Below are 19,756 nucleotides of genomic sequence, written 5' to 3'. Positions count from 1 at the left end.
CTAAAACAGTATGGTACTACCATAAAGATAGATATATAGACCAATGGAACAGAATAGAGAGCCCAGAAAAAAACTCACACACATATAGTCCAACTAATCTTTGACATGGGTGTCAAGATTACACAATGGAGAAAGTACAGTCTCTTTAATCTAGACTTAAAGACTAAAATATAAGACCTGAAACTGTAAATATCCTAGAAGAAATATAGGAGAAAATTTTGACATGGGTCTTGGCAATAATTTCTTGGAGATGGTTTCAAAAATACCGGCCAAAAAAAGCAAAAGTAGACAAGTTGAACTATATAAAACTAAAAAGCATCTGCACAGCAGAGGAAACAATCAACAGAGTGAAAAGGCAGCCTATGGAATAACAGAAAATATTTGCAAGCCATAAATCTGATAAAGGACTAATATCCAAAATTAGATAAGAAATTCCCACAACTCAATAGCAAAAACACAACCACCCTATTTAAAAATGGCAAAGGACCTGAATAGATATTTCTCAAAGGAAGGCATAAAAATGGCCAATAGGAATATGAAAAGGTGCTCAATGTCACTAATCATCAGAGAAATGCAAATCAAAACCACAGTTTGATATCACCTCACATCTTTTAGATGGCTGGTATCAAAAAGTCAAAAGACAACAAGTGTTGGTGAGAAAGTAGAGAAAAGGGAACTCTTGTACACTATTAGTAGGAATGTAAATTAGTACAGCTATTATGGAAAACAGTGTGGAGATTTCTCAAAAATTTAAAATAGAAATACCATATGCTCCAGCAATTCCACTTGTGGGTATATATCCAAAGGCAATGAAATCAGTATGTTGAAATATATATGCATTCCCATGTTGATTGCAGCATTATCACAATAGCCAAGATATGGAATCAACCTGAAGTGGCCATCAACAGATGAATGAATAAAGAAAATGTGGTATATATACACAATGTAATACTATTCAGCCTTTAAAAAAGAAGGAAATCCTGTTATTTGCTACAATTGGATGGATCTGGAGGACATTATGCTAAGTGAAATAAGCCAAGCACAGAAAGACAAATAATTCATGATCTCACTTAAATGTGGAATCTTGAAAAGGTCAAACTCAGAAGCAGAGAGTAGAATGGTGGTTGCCAGGGACTGCGGGGTGGGAAAGGGAGAATATGGAGAGATGTTGGTCAAAGGATACAAAGTTTCAGTCAGACAGGATGAATAAGTTCTGGAGATCTATTTTACAGCTTGTTAACTATAGTTAACAATCATATGTTGTATACTTGAAAATTGCTAAGAGAATGGATCTTAAATGTTCTCACCACAAACAATGATAAGTAGTGAAGTGGTAGATATGTTAACTAGCTTGATTTAATAATTTCACAATGTTTACATATATAAAAACATCATGTTGTATACCATAAATATATTTAATTTTTATTTGTACTTGTCCTTCAATAGAGCTTTTGGGGGGTGGGGGAGAAGAGTGAAGCTTGGTAGATTTGAACTCCAGAGATTTATTTGTAGACTGTAGTAAAAAGGGGAAGGAGGATATGATGTAAGAAAAAATTTTACTTGACGGAAAGGAAAAGTAAAAAAGCCCTTCAGATTCCAGAGAGAGGAGCCCAGGAAGGAGAAGAAAGAGAAGCAAGATGTCAGAATTGAGGAACATGACTTCATTATCTGGATCAAAATCCCTGGGGGAATAAAGTTTCGAGAAACTCTGAGGGGAGGTTGACATATTCCAAATGTTTTAACGTAAATATTATAATATTGATTCCCTATAGGGGAGTTTCCTGTTTTCTTCCTGGCACGGAGCAACATGGTGCCACCCAGGAAGGAGTTTAGAAAGGAGGTAGTCTGTGTGGCCTGGACAGGCATTCAGTGTCCCCATGCTCCTCAATAAAGGAATCAAGAAGTGCCATAGGGCGCTGGACCAGAGAGGGACAGAGAACAGTCTGAGAGGGGAGATGAGGAGATCATTTCATGATGTCAGGTCTTCGTGACAGGAGAATATGACAGAAACTATAAACTTCTAGCTCAAATGCCAGGGCAAATAAGATGAGCTGCATCACACTGGAGACAAGTGAAGGCAACAGAGGCAAGAGCCAAAGAGGTCTGGAACAGTTCAAGGAAGAGCAGAAACAGAGTAACCCTGAGTGGCAATGTGAAAATATCAACTTTTCTTTGCTGTCTTTAGAAATGAAGAGCTCCCAAACAAGATGAAATGTGAAAGAGAAAATCTGTGTTTACTTTTGTACATCTGAATATAATATCTAAGTTGTTGACCTTTCTCAGAAATAATTGAGAACCGGCCTCATATCAAAGCTTACTTTTAGTTTGTTCATTTGAAAGGGGTGGAGGTATTTTGCTTAAGACATCTAACTAGCTCACATAGCTGTGGTGAATGCAAAAAGCTATTTTTTAAGTAAATTTTGAAGCCCTATAGGATAAAAGTGGGAATCTATTTTTTTAAATATGAGAGTGGATCACCTAAAGGCATTCACCAAAACACACATACATGTAGACACACCATGTCACACCAGCCACTTAGCTATAGAAGTAGTTCTGAATAAAGTTTATGAGCCCTAATCAGATGTACCTCAGTACTTACTGCCTTAAGCACTTTCTGTTTGGGGCTGAAGTAATCTGACTAAAAATATATCTACCAATCAACACCTTTCTGTTGTTTCTAGCTGCATGGATGCTAAGGGTAGTCTCCAAATATACTTCAAAGAGCCCACAGTTCTCCAGGACACTAATTCACACCAGTATTGTGTAAAGCAGAATAGATGTGTACCACAGTTACCAACAATGTCAACAAACTCAAGGTGTTAGCATGTGAAATGAGGTTGTTATTTTGATGATAGTGATTATATCAACTGTTCCTCCTTACAATCACAGGGTACTTTCAGATCATGGACACTAAAATTACCAACCAGTAATTTGGAGATCAAATTAACAGCAACCATTCAAAGTAAATTGGGTCATTTCGACTCAGTGGTATTAGGCAACAGAAAGAATGTGAAGTTCTCAAACTGGTATGAGAACTGCAGCTCAAGCTTGTTGCAGTTCTAGACAGATGGCTCTTTCAGGCATTGTTCAACTAAGGGGTCATTTCTGCTGTTGTCAGAACGGAAATTCCCAAAACACATACTTTAGAATCTGTAGGCTGCCTTCATAGTATATTTCAGTAACTCCAAAGGCTTCACTGTTGTAAAATTCTTTACTTTGTAACCCAAGTTCTCCAACCTCCTGAGGAGCCACTGTGTCCTTGGAAGTCCATCAGTCTTAGTCCAAGTCTCCGTTTTGGATACAAGAAGTCCTGCATCCTGCTCAAGTATTTCTAAGCATCCCAGTAGAGTTTACATTCCTGGTGGTTGCTTATTGTGTCAGTTAGAAATTAGGTCCAGCTGCATGTAACAGAAACTCAACTGCTGTGGTTTAACCAAACAGGAGGAGGGGTGATTTTCTCATGTATTCAAAGTCTGGACATGAGCAGTACGAGGGCTCTGTAAAGTCTTAGGAGCTCCATGTCCTATCAACATTTTTTTCCTCTATCCTTAACATGTGACTTTTTGCCTCATGCTTGTTGCCTCATGGTCACAGAATGGCTGCCCTTTTTCCAGGCTCATGTCCTTACTCTCAGCAGAAAGAATAAGGGGCAAAGGACCAAGGGGGAACCCCTGAAGCAGAAAAGTGAAACTTTCCCAGAAATTCCTAGCCAAGTTTTAATTATATCTCAGTGACCTGAAATGAGTGTCAGTGCATTTTCTGAAGCCTGGGAAGGCAAGGATTATAGCAAAGTGCACTCCCATCTAAAACAAAATATGAATATGGCTGGTAAGGAAAAGGGGAGCTGGGCTGCTGAGTACCCAGCAGTGTCTGCCACTCTTCCCAGCTCTCGTCCTGAACCACTCCACGCTGGCCATGTCTGGTCATCTCCTAACTATGAGATAGGAAAAATTTAAAACTAGATCTGAGACGTGAATACCCTAGTAGTGGCCTTGCCTCTTCCTGGGAGGAGTAGCCTCCTGGGTGCCTTCTTCCTGATCCTCCACTCCAATACCATATTGCTGAGATCATGGTTTTTTTTTCTTTATTCATTCAATTAATAAACACTTTTTGATCAATTTCTATGCATTAAGTACTGTTTTAGACATTGGGGATATGAAAGAAACCAAGATCTCAAGACCCTTACCTTACATGGAACTCATATTCTAATGGAGGTTACTGTATTTCTCTCCCCAGTTGTCCTCTTAGCAGGCACATTTTGCAGGGCACTCCCTGCACCACTGTTTATGGTAACCGTGGTCACTCCCCAGAGACCAACGTTCTAGTCTTCTGTCTCTCTCTCCATTAGAGGAAGTTTAAAAAATCAGGCAACGAATATTATTTTTGCAGAAATAAACACAATGACCTATTATTGCAAGTCTTTTATTGTCAAACAGTATGTTTATCATCTCAGTCTGAAGCCCCCGCCTTTAGGTATTTCCATTTGTCCAGTGTTTCCTCAAGAAGAATGTTTTTACTTTCTTACTGCATGAGAGGCTTTGCTAAACACAAATTCCAGTTTTCACCTTTACAGCCACAAAGAGTTCAGAAAATTGGGCACCCAGTGTATTTGAGCATCTCCTTAAGCTTATGTATAATAGAGATTCCTCAAAGAGCAACTCATGCCCATTGATAGTTAGTGATTTAATTTTCCTGCACATTTCAATTGAAGGTCTATGTGCATTCTGAAGCCCCTTTATAAAATGTAAATTAAGTGTTTACTTGAATCTAGTTGATCTCTTGCATTAAGCCTCTACTTTTGTTAGGGAAAGGGGATAATACAAATCTCAGTTCTGGAAAGGCCTTTCTCTGTTTCTCTTTCTGACTCAGGACCCCCATGTACACAGGGGATATGACAACACCAAAGTAATAACCAAAGGTATTTGAAGTGGATGAGGTCTTTGAGGTTCTGTGTACAGGTGATCAAGGGTAATGTGGTTGAATCTATGAGTTTCTAAACTTCCCAACATATATTCCTTACCAAACTGCTTCATCTCCAGCTGCCATACTCTGTCTTGTGTTCTCTCCTCCAGCTAAGCATGGAATTTTCCTTCTTCACCTCAAAACCTTCCCTCAGGAGCTTCTCCCTGCTCTCTGCCAAGCCAGTTCTTCAAACCATTGCTCAGGCTATTCCTCCTTCTTAAACTCGCCACACACCACACCATGCTACCTGTCATTATTCTGTTCTCCCTGACTCTCCCTCAGCACTTGCATATGGCTACGTCCAACTGTCCGTCTCTCTGCCCTTCACTGATGCCGGTTCTAGTTCTTCATGAAATGATAAACTCACAAAAGGGGCATCAGGGTCCTCTACATCCTCAGGAACTCCCCACTATATATTGTGTTGCTCCTTGCTCAGAATAGACCATCTGTAAATAGGGGTGCTGCAGGTTTAAGACAAAACTTCTCATCAGCATGCTCAGTTTTCTAGGCAGTTTACATTTGAGACTGCAAAGCAGTGGGCGTGTAACTGCTTCCAACCTTCTCTGGGTGGTGATGTAATCATGGGGAGACCATCTGTGTTTCCTCCATCTGTTGAGGCTTCTCTGCACCTAATCAAGTGCAATGCACCAACTCAAGCCTCATCTTTCCAAGCAGCCTTCTCCGCCTGAACCACCCTTCCTCAGGAGTCCACTCAACCTGGGTCTCCAGAGCAGTGGATATGTAGACAGGCTACAGCAGAATCACTGAGCCTCCATTTCCTTATCAATAAAATGGGATGATAATGTATTCCTCATACGTTTGATGTGAGGATTAAATGAGAAAATGTATAATAAACCCTTTGCACATGGTAGGTGTTCAGCATATGTTAAATCTCTGCCCCCTCCCTATCACGCTTTCATGCTGGGATAACCATTGTTCATTTGCACAGTCTCATTTCCCCTGCATGATTGTGAACTCCTTGAGGACAAAGTCTCATCTAATTTGTCTTTACATAAGGAAGGGTAGGGTGTTAGAGAATTAGAAATCATCAAATCATGACCTTGGTCATGGATCTGCCACTTATGATCTGTGTGACTTTAGGCTGGTTCATTCATCGGTAAAACAAGGCGTTTGGTTTGGAGGACTGCTAAGATCTATGCGTCTAATCTAAATCTCCTAAAGAGCTTAGTGAGTGAATGGGCACCAAGGAAGCATGATTCCTAAGACTTGTTCCTCCTTTAATAGGTGAGTGAGTGAGTGTCCAATGTCTTAAAGGCTCTATGATCACACTAGCCATTCCTTTCCACTGGGCTCATTCAAGTCCAGCAGACTAGAGCTTAAATACACTGCAGCTCCTCAGGCCCACAGAAGGAAGGTGTTCCTTAAAATTAAAGCTCCACCCAGGGCAAATTCTATGAACCAGCCAAGCAGGTCTCCTGAATTCACACGCTCCCTTAAACCCCATCCACCCAACTGCCCAGGAAGGATGACGTAAGTCCTATTGGTGGGAATGCTAGAGTGAGGGATGGGAGTCTATATTCAGTTTCTGCAACTGCCCTTTTGGTTCACTCACACAGCTGATGCTGGAAGCTAAGGTGCATAACTGGTGAGCAAATGTTTTGTTATCTTCTTTACCCACTGGCAATGTTATAAAAAGTCAGTATTGATGCCAAGAATTTCTTTGAGATTGTCAAGTAAAAAATGCTAATATGGATCAGATTATAAAATGGCTGATTCTATTACAATAAGCACCTTTATATAAGGAGAAAGGTTTTTTCCTGCTTTGGGCCATATATTTCAAGTTATACCAAACCTGACATATTTGTAGTATAACCAGTCCATTTATATGGGAACTTTGAGCCTATATTAAGCAAAGTGAGGATGAAGGTCTCTATTCTTGGCCTCTTCCTGTACCATCACAAGAATATCTGCCACATTTATGTCTAGTGAGCTAGTTTGAATACATAGATGCTGAGTACTTTCATACTTATCCTTCTTATTAATGCTCAGGGAAAGAAAAGTGTGGGAGAGAAAGAGACTTGAGTCCCTAAATGTGCAGGTACTGTGCTAGGTCCCATCAGACTTCGTCTCATTAGACAGCTAAGGCTCAGAGAAGAAACTTGTCTCTGATCATACAGCCAGTACATGGCAGAGCTGAGATTTGAATCAAGACCTCACTCAAGTGTCCACGCTCTTAACCACTGCACCCCAGTGGCTCCCTGGGTTAGCAATTAGGTGAGTTGTTAGTCAATCAAGTAGGCAAAAATGTACGCAACACAAGGTATGGGGGTCCATAGAAAACTCTCTCCCTTTCTCTCCTGAGACCTGTGTTCCATGGCAGGTGTACCTTGGTGATTAATGCTTCTGAAGCTCTGGGTGTGCCCAGATGATATGCTATCTACAGCACACAAATGGGAAATTTCAAGATGCTGTTCTCTAACAGGCTTGCCACCAAATGCTGTCAGAAAACTAAAATTGTTCAGGCTATTTTGAGACCAAACTCAAAGTTTTATCCAGCTTCTCCCTGAAGTAAATTGATGTTCATGGATCTCAGAGCTGTTCTTTGCCTCACATTTTAGGTGGGGCCGTATAGCTAGAGTTTGTGCTCATTCAGATTCATGTCCTTGTGTTGACCCCAATCCTTCTGAAAAGCCCAGTGGAATTACAGGGTCTTAGATAAAATCAGAGGCCTGTATTTTCTAGCTTCAAAATAAAGAGAAGGCAAGAGTTGACTCAGAACACAAACAGTTCTGAGAATAAAATTAGAATTGCTCATTTAATGTTTATACACCTTGTAGGCTGGGGGTGGGTGCAGCTTGTTTACTTTCTGAGTATAAATTACTGAGTTTTCCCACCTTGAGATAGAAACCTGACCTGTGAGACAAAATTTTATTTTCTTCCCTCTTTTTATAACAAGTAGAAATGGCTTGGTGAAATGTGTGTTGGTTTTCATTCTGGGTGAGAAAGTAGAAGTGAGGCTGCAAATTCTAAGTAATGTGTTCTAAGATGCACCTGAGACTGACTGGGCACTAATATAAATTATAACAAAGACTGGAAAATTTATTGCCCCCTCCCCTGTGTTGGCTCTTGACATTTGGCCTGGAGTCTTCATGGTCACTGTGCAGCCCGGGAAGTGATGCAGGCTGACACACATGGGGAATCTTTTCCTGGAAATGGGTTTAGAGGACAGCTTATTATAAACAATAAGCCCTTGTGTAGGGGGTTGAAAATAAACTCAGACAGTGCATGAGGTTACAGTTATGTGCTGAAAGGCGAAAATCCACCATCTGTCACCTGTCCACAAGCCCTGATGGAAGCATTTGCCTCTGCCTGGAATCCCATTCCAGAAACTCCAGCTCAGTGATTAGACACTTCTTTATGCAGAGTCCAGGGACTTAGGGATAGACTCCCATGGTATTTAAGCTTATTTTTAAAAACATCATTTTTTGGTTGTTTTTAAGAAAGGAGGCAATGTTGTATTAGAAGGCCACATGATCTTTTTAATCTGTCAGCTCATTGCCCAAATGTCACAGTCTAAAGGACTATTCTGGGCCAGCTCTCATATATTTCCCTCCATTAATTGTATATGTTATTATTTAGGCACAGCATGCGTGTTGGCTCCAACCTGCATGAATGAAAAAAAAAATGACAAGCTCTGAAGCTTTGTCTCTCCAATACAGAAAAACCATCATAGTTTTCTACCATTGCTTTTGATTCTGTACTAAAAGTCTTGTTGAGCGAATGATATTTGTGGACCAGAAAACTGTATATACGAGTCAGACCATTGTCTCCCCTTCTCCCATGATGTCTATCACAGTTTAAATGTTCCCTTCATCTCTTTCTTTCTTATATAGCACAGCTTCAGCTCCAGAGTTAACTGTAAAATTTCAGAAGCATATTTTTCTAGCAACTCAAAGCACTTAAGAGGACTCAGGGAAAAGTATTTTGGCACTTACTTAGGGGGAATTATTATGTTGGTTGCAAAAACATTTTGGAAATAAAAAGTGTCTTTAGTCTTGTGATTACATAAATTTCTACTTGGCAAACAAGGACTGTTCTGGCGTTGTGGACCTAGAATTTAAGACATCATCTTTTTAACCTAAATTCCTTTTCTGTGAATCTACATTGTTGGTGAGGAAGCAACCCAGGGAGGTAGTGGCTATAATTCCAGTCTTCAAGTCTATGGACAATGCAAGGGTCTAGGGCAGTCCAGAGCTCCTAGATCATTCTGTGGGTAGAGAGAACTGAGGTGGAAGAGACAAGCTTCTTGTTCAGTTGGCCCATGTACAGCTACCAGAGGGAGCCCTAGGGCACCCATAATAGGCTCCCTGAAATAGAAACATTTCAGGTACTAACAGAGTCCCATGACAGCTTAATGCTATGAGAAGGGTTAGAACCTTTACCCTAAGTACATGTTCCCAGCCTGTGGACTGTGGGCTCCTGGCAGCTGCAGCTCTGTAAAGAGCGAGAAATTCACAGCTGGGTAGAAAACAGCCTGGGTAAGGTTTCACATAATTATGTCCTAGGTCATCTAACATAGCAAGGAAGGCTCTGGAGACTAACATTTTAGGTTCAAATGCTGGCTGTGTCTCTTACTAGTTGTGTGGCCCTGAACAAGTTATTTAACCTCTGAATACTTCAGTTTCTTCATCTGTAAAATGGAGATAATGGTGATAATATCACCTCACAGGGTTGTTGTCTTAAATGAGTTAATATCTGAGGAACAGTGCTGCTTACATAGTTAGGGCTCGGTGCATTTTAGCCATTCTTATTGTTTGACAGACATATTTGAAGCTGCTGTCATGATAAATTAAAATACTTTCATTTAAATGTGATTTCATTGTTACTCTTTGTCAATATGCACAGTTTCGGTTGATGGAAACCAAACACAGAATTGTCATAACAGAGGAGTCCTCATTCTCAGAAATGAATGAAAGAAATAAAACAGGGGGGCTGAGTTATCCTAAAATAGGGAAGAAAATATGTATGGCAAGCAGGGCTAACTTCTCTATTAGGCAAAGTAGGCAGAGAATCTAGGGCCCACAATGCTTTCAGAGGCCCATGAAAATGTTTTAATTTCCTTTAAAACCGGAAGAAAAAGTTAATTTTCAGATTGAAGAAAGTGTTTTAATATATAATATTAATACATTTGTCTTTAGGCACTTCGTATAAACATGAAATACAGTTTTTAATATTTTTATGGAAGAAGGGGTCAACAAAGGCAAAATATTAGGAAGTTATAATGTAGCCCAGACTGCAAGTGCCTCTGTTGTATTTGCTCATGTCTTTTCCTGTGTTCCTAACTGAATGGGGAGCCCTTTGAAAGCAGAAGATTGCATCCTATTTACCATTGTACACACCGAGCCTAGCATGGTACCTGGCATATCATAGGCAACAACTATATATTTGATGAATGAAAGAAATGATTAGTATTTTAAGTCACATGGAACAAGCCCTGGAAAGAGGGCTTTTGCTAAGGCTCCAAGCAAGTCAACCTCTGTGCAGCTTAGAAGTACTTTGAAAGTGGCATTCTATGTCACATGGATGAAAAATCAAAATGATGAAAACATCATTAAGCAAGGCAAAATAGAGACACACTCTGTTGTCTCTGGCTTTGACTCTAAAGCAGACTTTGCATGAAAGACTGCAAGTTTAGCTCCAGCTAAGGCCCATCCACTTGGAAGAAAGCCCTCAGAGATGGTCCCTGGAAGAGTGAGTCTGTCCTGCTGCAGAAGGGCCAAAGAAATAGAGTGCAACTTCAGAGACTCAAAAACGCAAAGGAGGCACCCCTCGCAGCCCTCCCTTAGAGCTCTGCTGGGCCCTCCATGGCCAGGCCAGAGGCCACATAGGGAGGAGAGGGAGAAAGGCCTCCTAGTGGTAGGGCTACACCTCAGGGAAGCCAAGGTCTAAGTGGTGACTGACAGCCAAATCCAATGGGAAAAAGTTGAAACACCAAAGTTCTCTGGCCAAAGTTCAACTGGAGTTACAGCTGCCTCATGGAATTCTGGGGTGGGGTGGTGGAGGGGATGGATATATTCAGGAGCAGGACAGAATTGGAGAGGAGCATGAAAAAAATCGAGGAAACTGCAGTCAGTGGGAAAAGGGAAAATATTGCTACATTGGATTTTTGGGTTAACCAAAAATCTCCTTTGCTTCAATCCTTAATAGTAAAAAATAAACAGTGATCTATTTGCAATAGGGACTGTATTATACGAGATCAAAACACACAATAGGCAGGAATCTTAGCAATATAATATTCAGTTAAAAAACCTCCTAAAGTATTACATACAGCATGATACCCTTTAAAAATTTTATATGGACAATTTAAAACACATACAAAAGAGAATACTGTCACCTCCCTCAGGCATCCTGCATCCAGCTTCCATCTTGGCCTATCTTGTTTCATCCATATATACCTCTTACCCGCTTTTCTCCTCCCTTATTATTTTGAAGAAAATCTCAGACATAGTGGAATAACATTTGTATAATATTGAAAACAGTTAAAAATTAAGAAATACTTTCATGAATACATAGATGCCATTAAAACATATAAAAAGCTTTTTATTTTATCTTATTTTATTTTTTGAGATAGAGTCTTGCTCTATTGCCAGGTTGGAGTGCAGTGGCACGATCTTGGCTCCCTGCAACCTCCACCTCCCGGGTCCCAGCAATTCTCCTGCCTCAGCCTCTCAAGTAACTGGGACTACAGGCGCCCGCCAACACACCCGGCTAATTTTTGTATTTTTAGTAGAGACGGGGTTTCACCATGTTGGCCAGGGTGGTCTCGATCTCTTGACCTTGTGATCTGCCCGCCTCAGCCTCCCAAAGTGCGGGATTACAGGCGTGAACCACCGCGCCCAGCCCATAAAAAGCTTTTTAAAAGGATGATGGTGACCACAGGTGTGGGGTGGGCTACATGTAGATTAGCATCAAGTTCTGAGATTTTGTTTTGAATGGCCAATTCTGGGTTCTTATTACCTTGTTACTAATAATTGATTAACGAACTGACTAGCAGAATAAAAGGAGACCATGCAAAGACCAATATGAGAGAGTGTGTGAACCCAAGATTTTAATTCCTCTCATTTTCTGTGCCAGAAGCTGCATCGGTCCCCTTTTCTGCCTGCGTAACTGCAGTCATCATCGTCTTTCCTTTCAAGGGTGACTAGAATGTGTGGGAGGGCAGTGGGGGTTGGAGAGGAAGACTTTAAATCCAGTTTGTTTGAAGTCCTGGTTAGCTGGGTTGCAGACTTAGACTCACTGTGTCCATGAGCACGTCCTGTCCACGGCCTACTTTGCTTTAACCCACTTTGCCTATTCCTGCCTGAATTCTGGAACTCAGAACCACAGCTTGGTAGCAGAGGCTGCAAAACGATTGCAACCTACACAAGAGAGGCACATTCATTACAACCAAATGGACTGTGGGGGCTCCAATGAGAAGCCTGTGCCACAAGTTTTATTTCTGGCAGGAGAGGCTCCAGAGGTAGGGGAAGAAAGGAGTGGGAGAGAGTGGAGAAAGGTGTAACAAAGACAGAAAAAGAAAGAGTGAGGAGACTGTTTGCTTATAACTATTTACAGTATAGTTTTTTTTTTCAATCTAAGATGTATTTAAATCAATTCATTTGAAAGACTGTTCTACTTTCAGCATATGTCCTGATTTGAGTTTTGGATTTTAATACAATCACTACAGGTTGAATTGCTTGATTTAATTAACTTTTTCCTATTAATTGAGGAGGTGGAGCAGAGGGTAGTGCATTGAGACACCCTCTCTTAACCTTGGCTCTGACCTGTAGAGCAGGCCATGTAAGCTTTCTGGGCTTAGTTTCTACATCTGTAAAAATAACGAGGTAGGACTAGAAGATCTCTAGGGTCCATTTCGGTTGTAAAATTTTATCATTTTAAGTGGCCTGAACAAACCATAAATGGGTTTGTCAGAAGCACAGAGATGGGTATGTCACAGAGATTGAAAAGAACAGGAAATTTGTTCTTTGACTTCCCAGACCAGTGTTTAACTTCTACACATCCAGTTGCTTAGGTCTTAAATGTTCATGTGTTTCCACATTTCCTTATGACCTACACACCTTAAAAGAAAATGAAGGTTGCAAAATTTTCTGCAAAAAATCCCACGTTAAGTGGAGCAAAACTTTTCTTGAATAAGAAAGAGTTTTCTGAATGGAAATAGTCACAAAGTCAGCCCCAGATTCTAGACGTTCTATTTGGTAATACAAGTTACAGGTAGAAAATGGCTTTCTGGTTTGGAGAGCCATGGGCCATGGGATACATAGCCCTGAGACACACACATGCATACACACACACACATTCATAACTGAAGGAAGTATTTTTTTTTTCAGCTCATTCATCCTGATTTGGGACCCAGAATCCATGTCTCTTCTTCTGCCTAGAGGGCACAAGTGACAAGGCATTAGATGCTGTTGCCAAGACCCTGGGTGCCCACAGCAGAGTGATGCTGAGATAGATGTGGATTCTACCTTTAGCACCTGGGGTGGTCATGGGGTAGAGAAGGGAGAAACCATAACTAGAATCAGTATTAACATATCAAAGGAAGTGAATAGAAAGCCTGGAGTCAAAACCAAATATCTATACTACTTAAAACGTAATGAAGAACAAATTGGTAGGGAGAAATGCGTTATTTAGTAATAGTGTTGGGATAACAGCTTACACATTGGAAAAACTGCATATTGAAACTTAGCTCGCATTATACACTTCAATACACTCTAGGTAGACTAAAGAAATATAGAACTGTAAACTAGGTTTAAAAATGTATGTAATTTTAGTTTGAAAAGGCTTTTCTAAGGCAGAAACCGTGAAGAAATAGATTGGTAGATTTGACAACATAAAAATTTTACTTTTCTGTACATCCTAAAACAATAAAAAATTAAAGACAGCCAGGCACGGTGGCTCACGCCTGTAATCCCAGCACTTTGGGAGGCCAAGGTGGGTGAATCATGAGGTCAGGAATTCGATACCAGCCTGGCCAATGTGGTGAAACCCTGTCTCTACTAAAAAATACAAAAAATTAGCTGGGTGTGGTGGAGGGCACCTGTAATCCCAGCTACTCAGGAGGCTGAGGCAGGAGAACAGAGGTTGCAGTGAGCCAAGATTGTACCACTGCACTCCAGCCCGGGAAACAGTGCCAGACTCTGTCTCAAAAACAAAAACAAAAACAAAAACAAAACAAACAGAAAAAAACCACAGGACTAAGTGGAAAATATATTTGTAAAATAAGATAATATCACTATTATGGCAAGAGTTCTTATTAGTCAACTCAGAAAAGATAACCATTCTTCCCACCAAAAAAAAAAAAAAAAAAAAAAAAAAAGAAATAGAGAAATAGGTATAGGCAACAGGTAAGAAAGAACTGGAAAAGAGCCTCATAGATACTCAAAGCAGCGTAAACTAAAACAAGGAAATACTGTTTTGCCTATAGAGTCAGTTAAAAGACTGATAATAGCCTTGGTAATTATGCGGTGAAATGAACACTCTAAGATTAGCTTTATTCCTCATTCTTACTTTAGTATAAAATCTTAGGAAAGCCGCTTAAGCTTTTTGAGCCTCGATTTTCTCATCTGTAAACTGGGGATTATAATAGTATCACTTGCAGGGTTAGTCTGAGAATTAGACGGGCTAATACATTTTAAATGAACTTTGTAAATTCAAAAGTAATATACACACAGGTATATATAATTATTGGGTCCTATAGCCCTTTGTTCTCAAAGAACAAAGGGGATGTAAGGGAATGGGTAGAGTTGTTTCCTTGATGCTATCTTTAAGATCCTGCACTAAAACATTGTAGCTTTGTTAAGCTACTCTCCAGAGATGGCACTGAGGACTGAGATACATGGATATTGTTATAGGAGCAGCAGAAACTAAGAGGGCACTAAAACTGATGTTGGCAGGAGTGGATGACCAGAGCCACCATTCACTGGCAACAGCCAAGAGGTGATGATGGAAGCCACTTCTAATGGCAGAAACTACCTCAATGAAGCAGCAGCTGAGAGTGGTTCCTGGAATAGAGCTATGTCCAAGGAGAGGATCCACTAGGAGTGACTTCAGTGAGCCTAGCAGGAATCACTCTCAGTCACAGATCAGAGGTGGAGCTGGGAAGACTCCAGAGGAAATGGGTACCACTGGCTTTTTGTGTAGTAAGTAATATTACACAAAGAGCTATATAACTGTACTTCCTGGGTTCAAATCCCAACTCCACCAATTGTGTGACCTTGGGGAAGACACTTTATTTCTCTGTGTCTCAGTTTTCTCATTTGCTAATAAAATAATAGTAACATCTAGATAATGATTATTGTGAGAATTATGTAAGTTAATATATGTAAAGCACTTAAAGATGTCTGGAACATGTAAATACCTAGTTAATGTTACATGTTATTATTGTTGCTATGGTCATTATTAGCACTACTACTACCGTGACCACAATCTTTCTTAAAGAGACAATAACATTTTCTCACTAGGAAACCTAGTATTGTTGGAAGCTAAAAATTCTGGTTAGGAGGTAATAAAAGGAAGTTTCAACCATAAGAGTAGGTTTTTCCCCTTGCTACCTAGAGAAATATTTATCCATCAGTTGGCTCCATCTTTTCTTTCCCATGGAAAGAAGGGGAATAAAAGTCTTCAGTTCACACCATGGTAGTAACTTACAGCATCCTTAAAGATGCAGCTCCCTCTCACCCCTAACAGAGACCTCTCTCAAGTTCATAGGCTCAAATCTACAATTCAAATAAGTGCCCCAAAGGGAAGGCTATTCCTGTGTTCTGGACAGTAGTATGAGAGAGGCCTAATATAGCTTCTTGCTTCATTTATTCAACAGTAAGTTCAAATATTTCAAGAATATTTCCTAGAGAATATCCCACGATGCCTTTGAAACCTCCAAAATGGAAGGATTTGATTTAAAAATGAATGATTAGGTCAAACTCCACTTATAAAATTACCTAGCCTTGCACTTCCAGGTCAAAGTGTACTTCATGTCCTGGTGTTAAAGGTGCTACAGCAAAACTTTCTTCCTATGTAATAAGATTCAAGAGACTAATTTTTAAATATAGTATTTGAGTGAATGTGGCCAGTGGCAAGTACATAGTGGGCCTGCCGTGATGTCTGATCTCCCTCACCTCCCAAAATTGGTGCTGTTTACCAACCACAAATGCCATTCAGAATTCCCACTATAAGATGGCTCTCTTGAAGGCATATATTTGTAATAGTGGATCACTATTCATGTCACAAGCAAGATATGTGACATATCTCCATTGGTGTGGAACAGGGGGTCTAGGTGGCCCCTGCTGTCAGCCACGTCCGGGACCTTCATCTCTACAGATAAAATCACCAGAGTTTCAAGGGGTTAAGTGACTTGCTCAAGATCACTCATCCATGCAGTCTTTTCCCCCAGAAAAAAACAAGAGGTCACAGCCACCAATGGCTATAGAATATATACCAAATATTCTTAAACTATAAACTCTAAAATAGGCAGCTAGAAAAAAAAGAAGAGTGGAAAAGAAGCAAAATGCTTGGACACTCAAAATAGACAAAACAAATCAAAGCCTGGAGCTTGAACAGGCAGGAGAGGACACCAGAACACGTTTCTCTACCTGTGTTGTCAGGGATGAGTTGAAAGAAGAGGGAGGGTCTCAAGAGTGATAACGCGATCCAGCATTGTTGGCTTCTTTCAGAAGCCACTCAATTTTCCTGTCCTGTTGAATCTCCAGCTACTCTGAACAAAAGGAATACTATTACTGTTACTTCTAGGGTTTCTTGGGTGATGCTGAAAACATGTCCCCCTTTAACCTGTGCAGTAGAAAGAGAAAGCTTTGGAATAATATAGGATGCTGACTTGGCTAACTAACAGTGTGAGAACATGTTTGCTCATCTGGAAAATGGGAATGATAATGCTAGTAACTATGTTGGAGGACAGTTGCAAGAATTACATGGGACAGTATTTGTGAAGCAGTCAACATCATGCCTAGCACGTGGTTCTTTCTTTGTTAGGAAAGAGGTTAATTCTCTACATTTTTTTTTTTTTTGGAAAATAAAAGTGGGGGAAAAAACTGACACCACACTCCGTCTTTTCCTCTTTCCTCCTTCTTTCCTTTGAACTTGAAATAGAGAACCTGAGCTTAATAATTTCCACTCCTATTGTAGTTATTTTTCTCTTTAAAAAATATCTTGAATTGTGAGATATCCCAGCAGCCAACAAAATAAAACTTCAATTCACCAGCGTTTTGAGCCTGTGCAACCCAATGATGACACAAGACATCCCCAGCTACCCCGTGGTTTCACATCCTCAGTGTCAAATATTTACAAGAAATTGAACACTATTAATCTGGACATTGTATCAAAATGTATCAGCAATGGGGAGTTCAAGTTAGGGTGTTAATGTGAACAAACCCAAAGTAAAGATAGCAGAGTAAATTACTCAGAAAACACATCCTGGCACAGGAATAAAATTGGTGTTCCATTTAATGTTGGAAAACCTGAGGGACTGGGGCCAGGGATAACCTGTTGATATTTGCAGAGTGTACCATGTTGCAGGAGGCACATTAGCCCTCTGTGGTACAACTTGAATGATAACTGATCCTGGATGATTTAAATGAAGACGGTCAACAATCAGTCAACCCTGAGGTGAGTCGTATAAGAAAACTGCATTTTTATTATCAAGTTTGAAGGGAGAAGCAGGACTAGATTAGTTAAAAGCCCACTAAGCACAGAAGAAGTGCAGATATCCCAATCCTACAAAACCTTGGCTGGACCAGGGAGCTCAGAAGCATGGGCTGTTTCAATGAAAGAGGAAGAAAAAAGAACCCAGAGGTCCCTATAGAGGAAGAATGCTTCAGAACATGGTATTTGTACTTGTTGGTTTTCTTAATTAGAAACAAAACAAACTTTGGTCAGATTTTACTAAAACATAATTTCTTGAAAAGATATTTAATAGCTTCACAAATGCCTGAAAATGGAGAATCATGAAGGATCAGAGCTAAAATCATACCACAAGAATTTTTTGGTAAGGATGGTGTCTTAGGTTGCCTGAACTGCTGTAACAAAGTGCCACAGACTGTGTGGCTTAGGTAAGAGGCACATTCTCACAGCTCTGGAGGCTGGAAGTCCATGATCAACGTGTCCACAGGGTTGGTTCCTTCTGAGGGCTGTGAGGGATCTGATCCAGGCTGCTCTCCTTGGCTTGGAGATGGTGTCTTCATGTTCACTTGGCATCCTCCCTGTACGTCTCTTCACAGTGTCTTCCCTCTGTGTATGTCTCTGTGTCTAAGTTTCCCTTTTTTATAATCAGTCCTGTAGGATTAGGGCTCACCCCAATAACCTCACTGTAACCTGATTACCTCTGCAAAGACCCCATCTCCAAATCTGCTCACATTCTTAGATACTTGGGGTTAGATATTCAGCATATGAGTTTAGGGGGTAGGGGACAAAATTCAACCCATAACAGATAGTCCCTCTGGGTGCTGGTTGTTAGATATTGCTTCCTGCTGGTGCTGTGACCCCTGCTCCCTTGGTCACTGGGAGAAGAATGCTCCACTGCCCCAGGTTGGAGCATCTGATTGGCTAGGCTGCTCACACACACTCTGCCAGTGAGGAGAAGGAAAGTTAGACTCTGGCTTTCTCAGTTTCTAGGGCAGGAGGCAGGTTCTGTCTTCTACCAAGACTCATGCTGTGGGATTGCCCTCAGTGGAGGAGGAGGCTCAGCAGCTAAACAGTCAGAAACCCGCCAAGTAGCCACATTTGTACTTTTTAAACTAGTCAATGTCTTCAAGTGGGCATACTAGTCTATGGAAAGAGGCCTTGAATAACAATTTTTAAATATATTTATTTATTTATTATTAAGACATGGTCTCACTCCCATTGCCCAGGCTGGAGTACAGTGGCGTGATTTTGGCTCACTGCAGCCTCAACCTCCCAGGCTCAAGCAATGCCCACCTCAGCCTCCCAAGTAGCTGGGACTACAGGTGCACACCACCATGCCCAGATAATTTTTGTACTTTTTATAGACACACGGTTTCACCATGTTGCCCAGGCTGGTCTCAAACTCCTGGGCTCAAGCAGTCCTCCTGCCTTGGCCTCCCAAAATGCTGGGATTACAGGCATGAGCCACCATGCCTGGCCTTGAATAACATGTAAATAGAGGGTCTAGAATCAAGCCAGGTGATGAAGGAACGCTAATGCTTAATGGCAAAACTCATAAATTTTAGTCTATCTCTCATTCACATTGAGAGAGGTGGGATACCATGGAGCCTTTCTACTTAAGATGATTAATTTCCACCATCACAATCCCAAATGGAAGTGAGGAAAACACCTAGGCCTACCTATCCCTTGTCCTCTCTGACTTTCCTACAATGACCTATGATGAGACATACAAGTGCCCGAGAAGAGGAGCGCAAGAGCTTCTTTTATTTATTTATTTATTTATTTATTTATTTATTTATTTATTTATTTATATTTTTGAGACAGAGTCTAGCTCTGTCACCAGGCTGGAGTCTGGTGGCGCCATCTTGGCTCACTGCAATTTCCACCTCCCAGGTTCAAGTGACTCCCCTGCCTCAGCTTCCCGAGTAGCTGGGACTACAGGTGCACACCACCATGTCTGGCTAATTTTTTGTATTTTTGTAGAGACAGGGTTTCACCATGTTGGTCTGGATGGTCTTGATCTCCTGACCTCTTGACCTGCCCGCCTTGGCCTCCCAAAGTGCTGGGATTACAGATGTGAGCCACTGCACCCGGGTTATAGGAGAGAAGCAGTTCTGGGTAAATGCTGACCAAGCCATTG

At 40.8% G+C, this 19,756-nt stretch overlaps 2 long non-coding RNA genes across 4 annotated transcripts in view; one reads left to right on the top strand and one right to left on the bottom strand.

The window, feature by feature from the left end:
* Positions 1-4,488, bottom strand: part of LOC105379012 (uncharacterized) — a 29,314-nt gene extending 24,826 nt beyond the window's left edge. The window contains exon 1 of the long non-coding RNA XR_948411.3: positions 4,187-4,488. This is a non-coding gene — a long non-coding RNA (uncharacterized LOC105379012). The remainder of the gene's footprint in view (positions 1-4,186) is intronic.
* The window catches only part of LOC105379013 (uncharacterized), a 406,546-nt gene that overhangs the window by 344,933 nt on the left and 41,857 nt on the right, over positions 1-19,756 (top strand). The window lies entirely within an intron of this gene.

The sequence above is a fragment of the Homo sapiens genome, chromosome 5 (assembly GCF_000001405.40).
Source record: "Homo sapiens chromosome 5, GRCh38.p14 Primary Assembly".
Taxonomy (NCBI): Eukaryota; Metazoa; Chordata; class Mammalia; order Primates; family Hominidae; genus Homo; species Homo sapiens.
The sequence above is the reverse complement of the archived record's forward strand: the minus strand, read 5'-3'. Positions and strand labels throughout refer to the sequence as shown.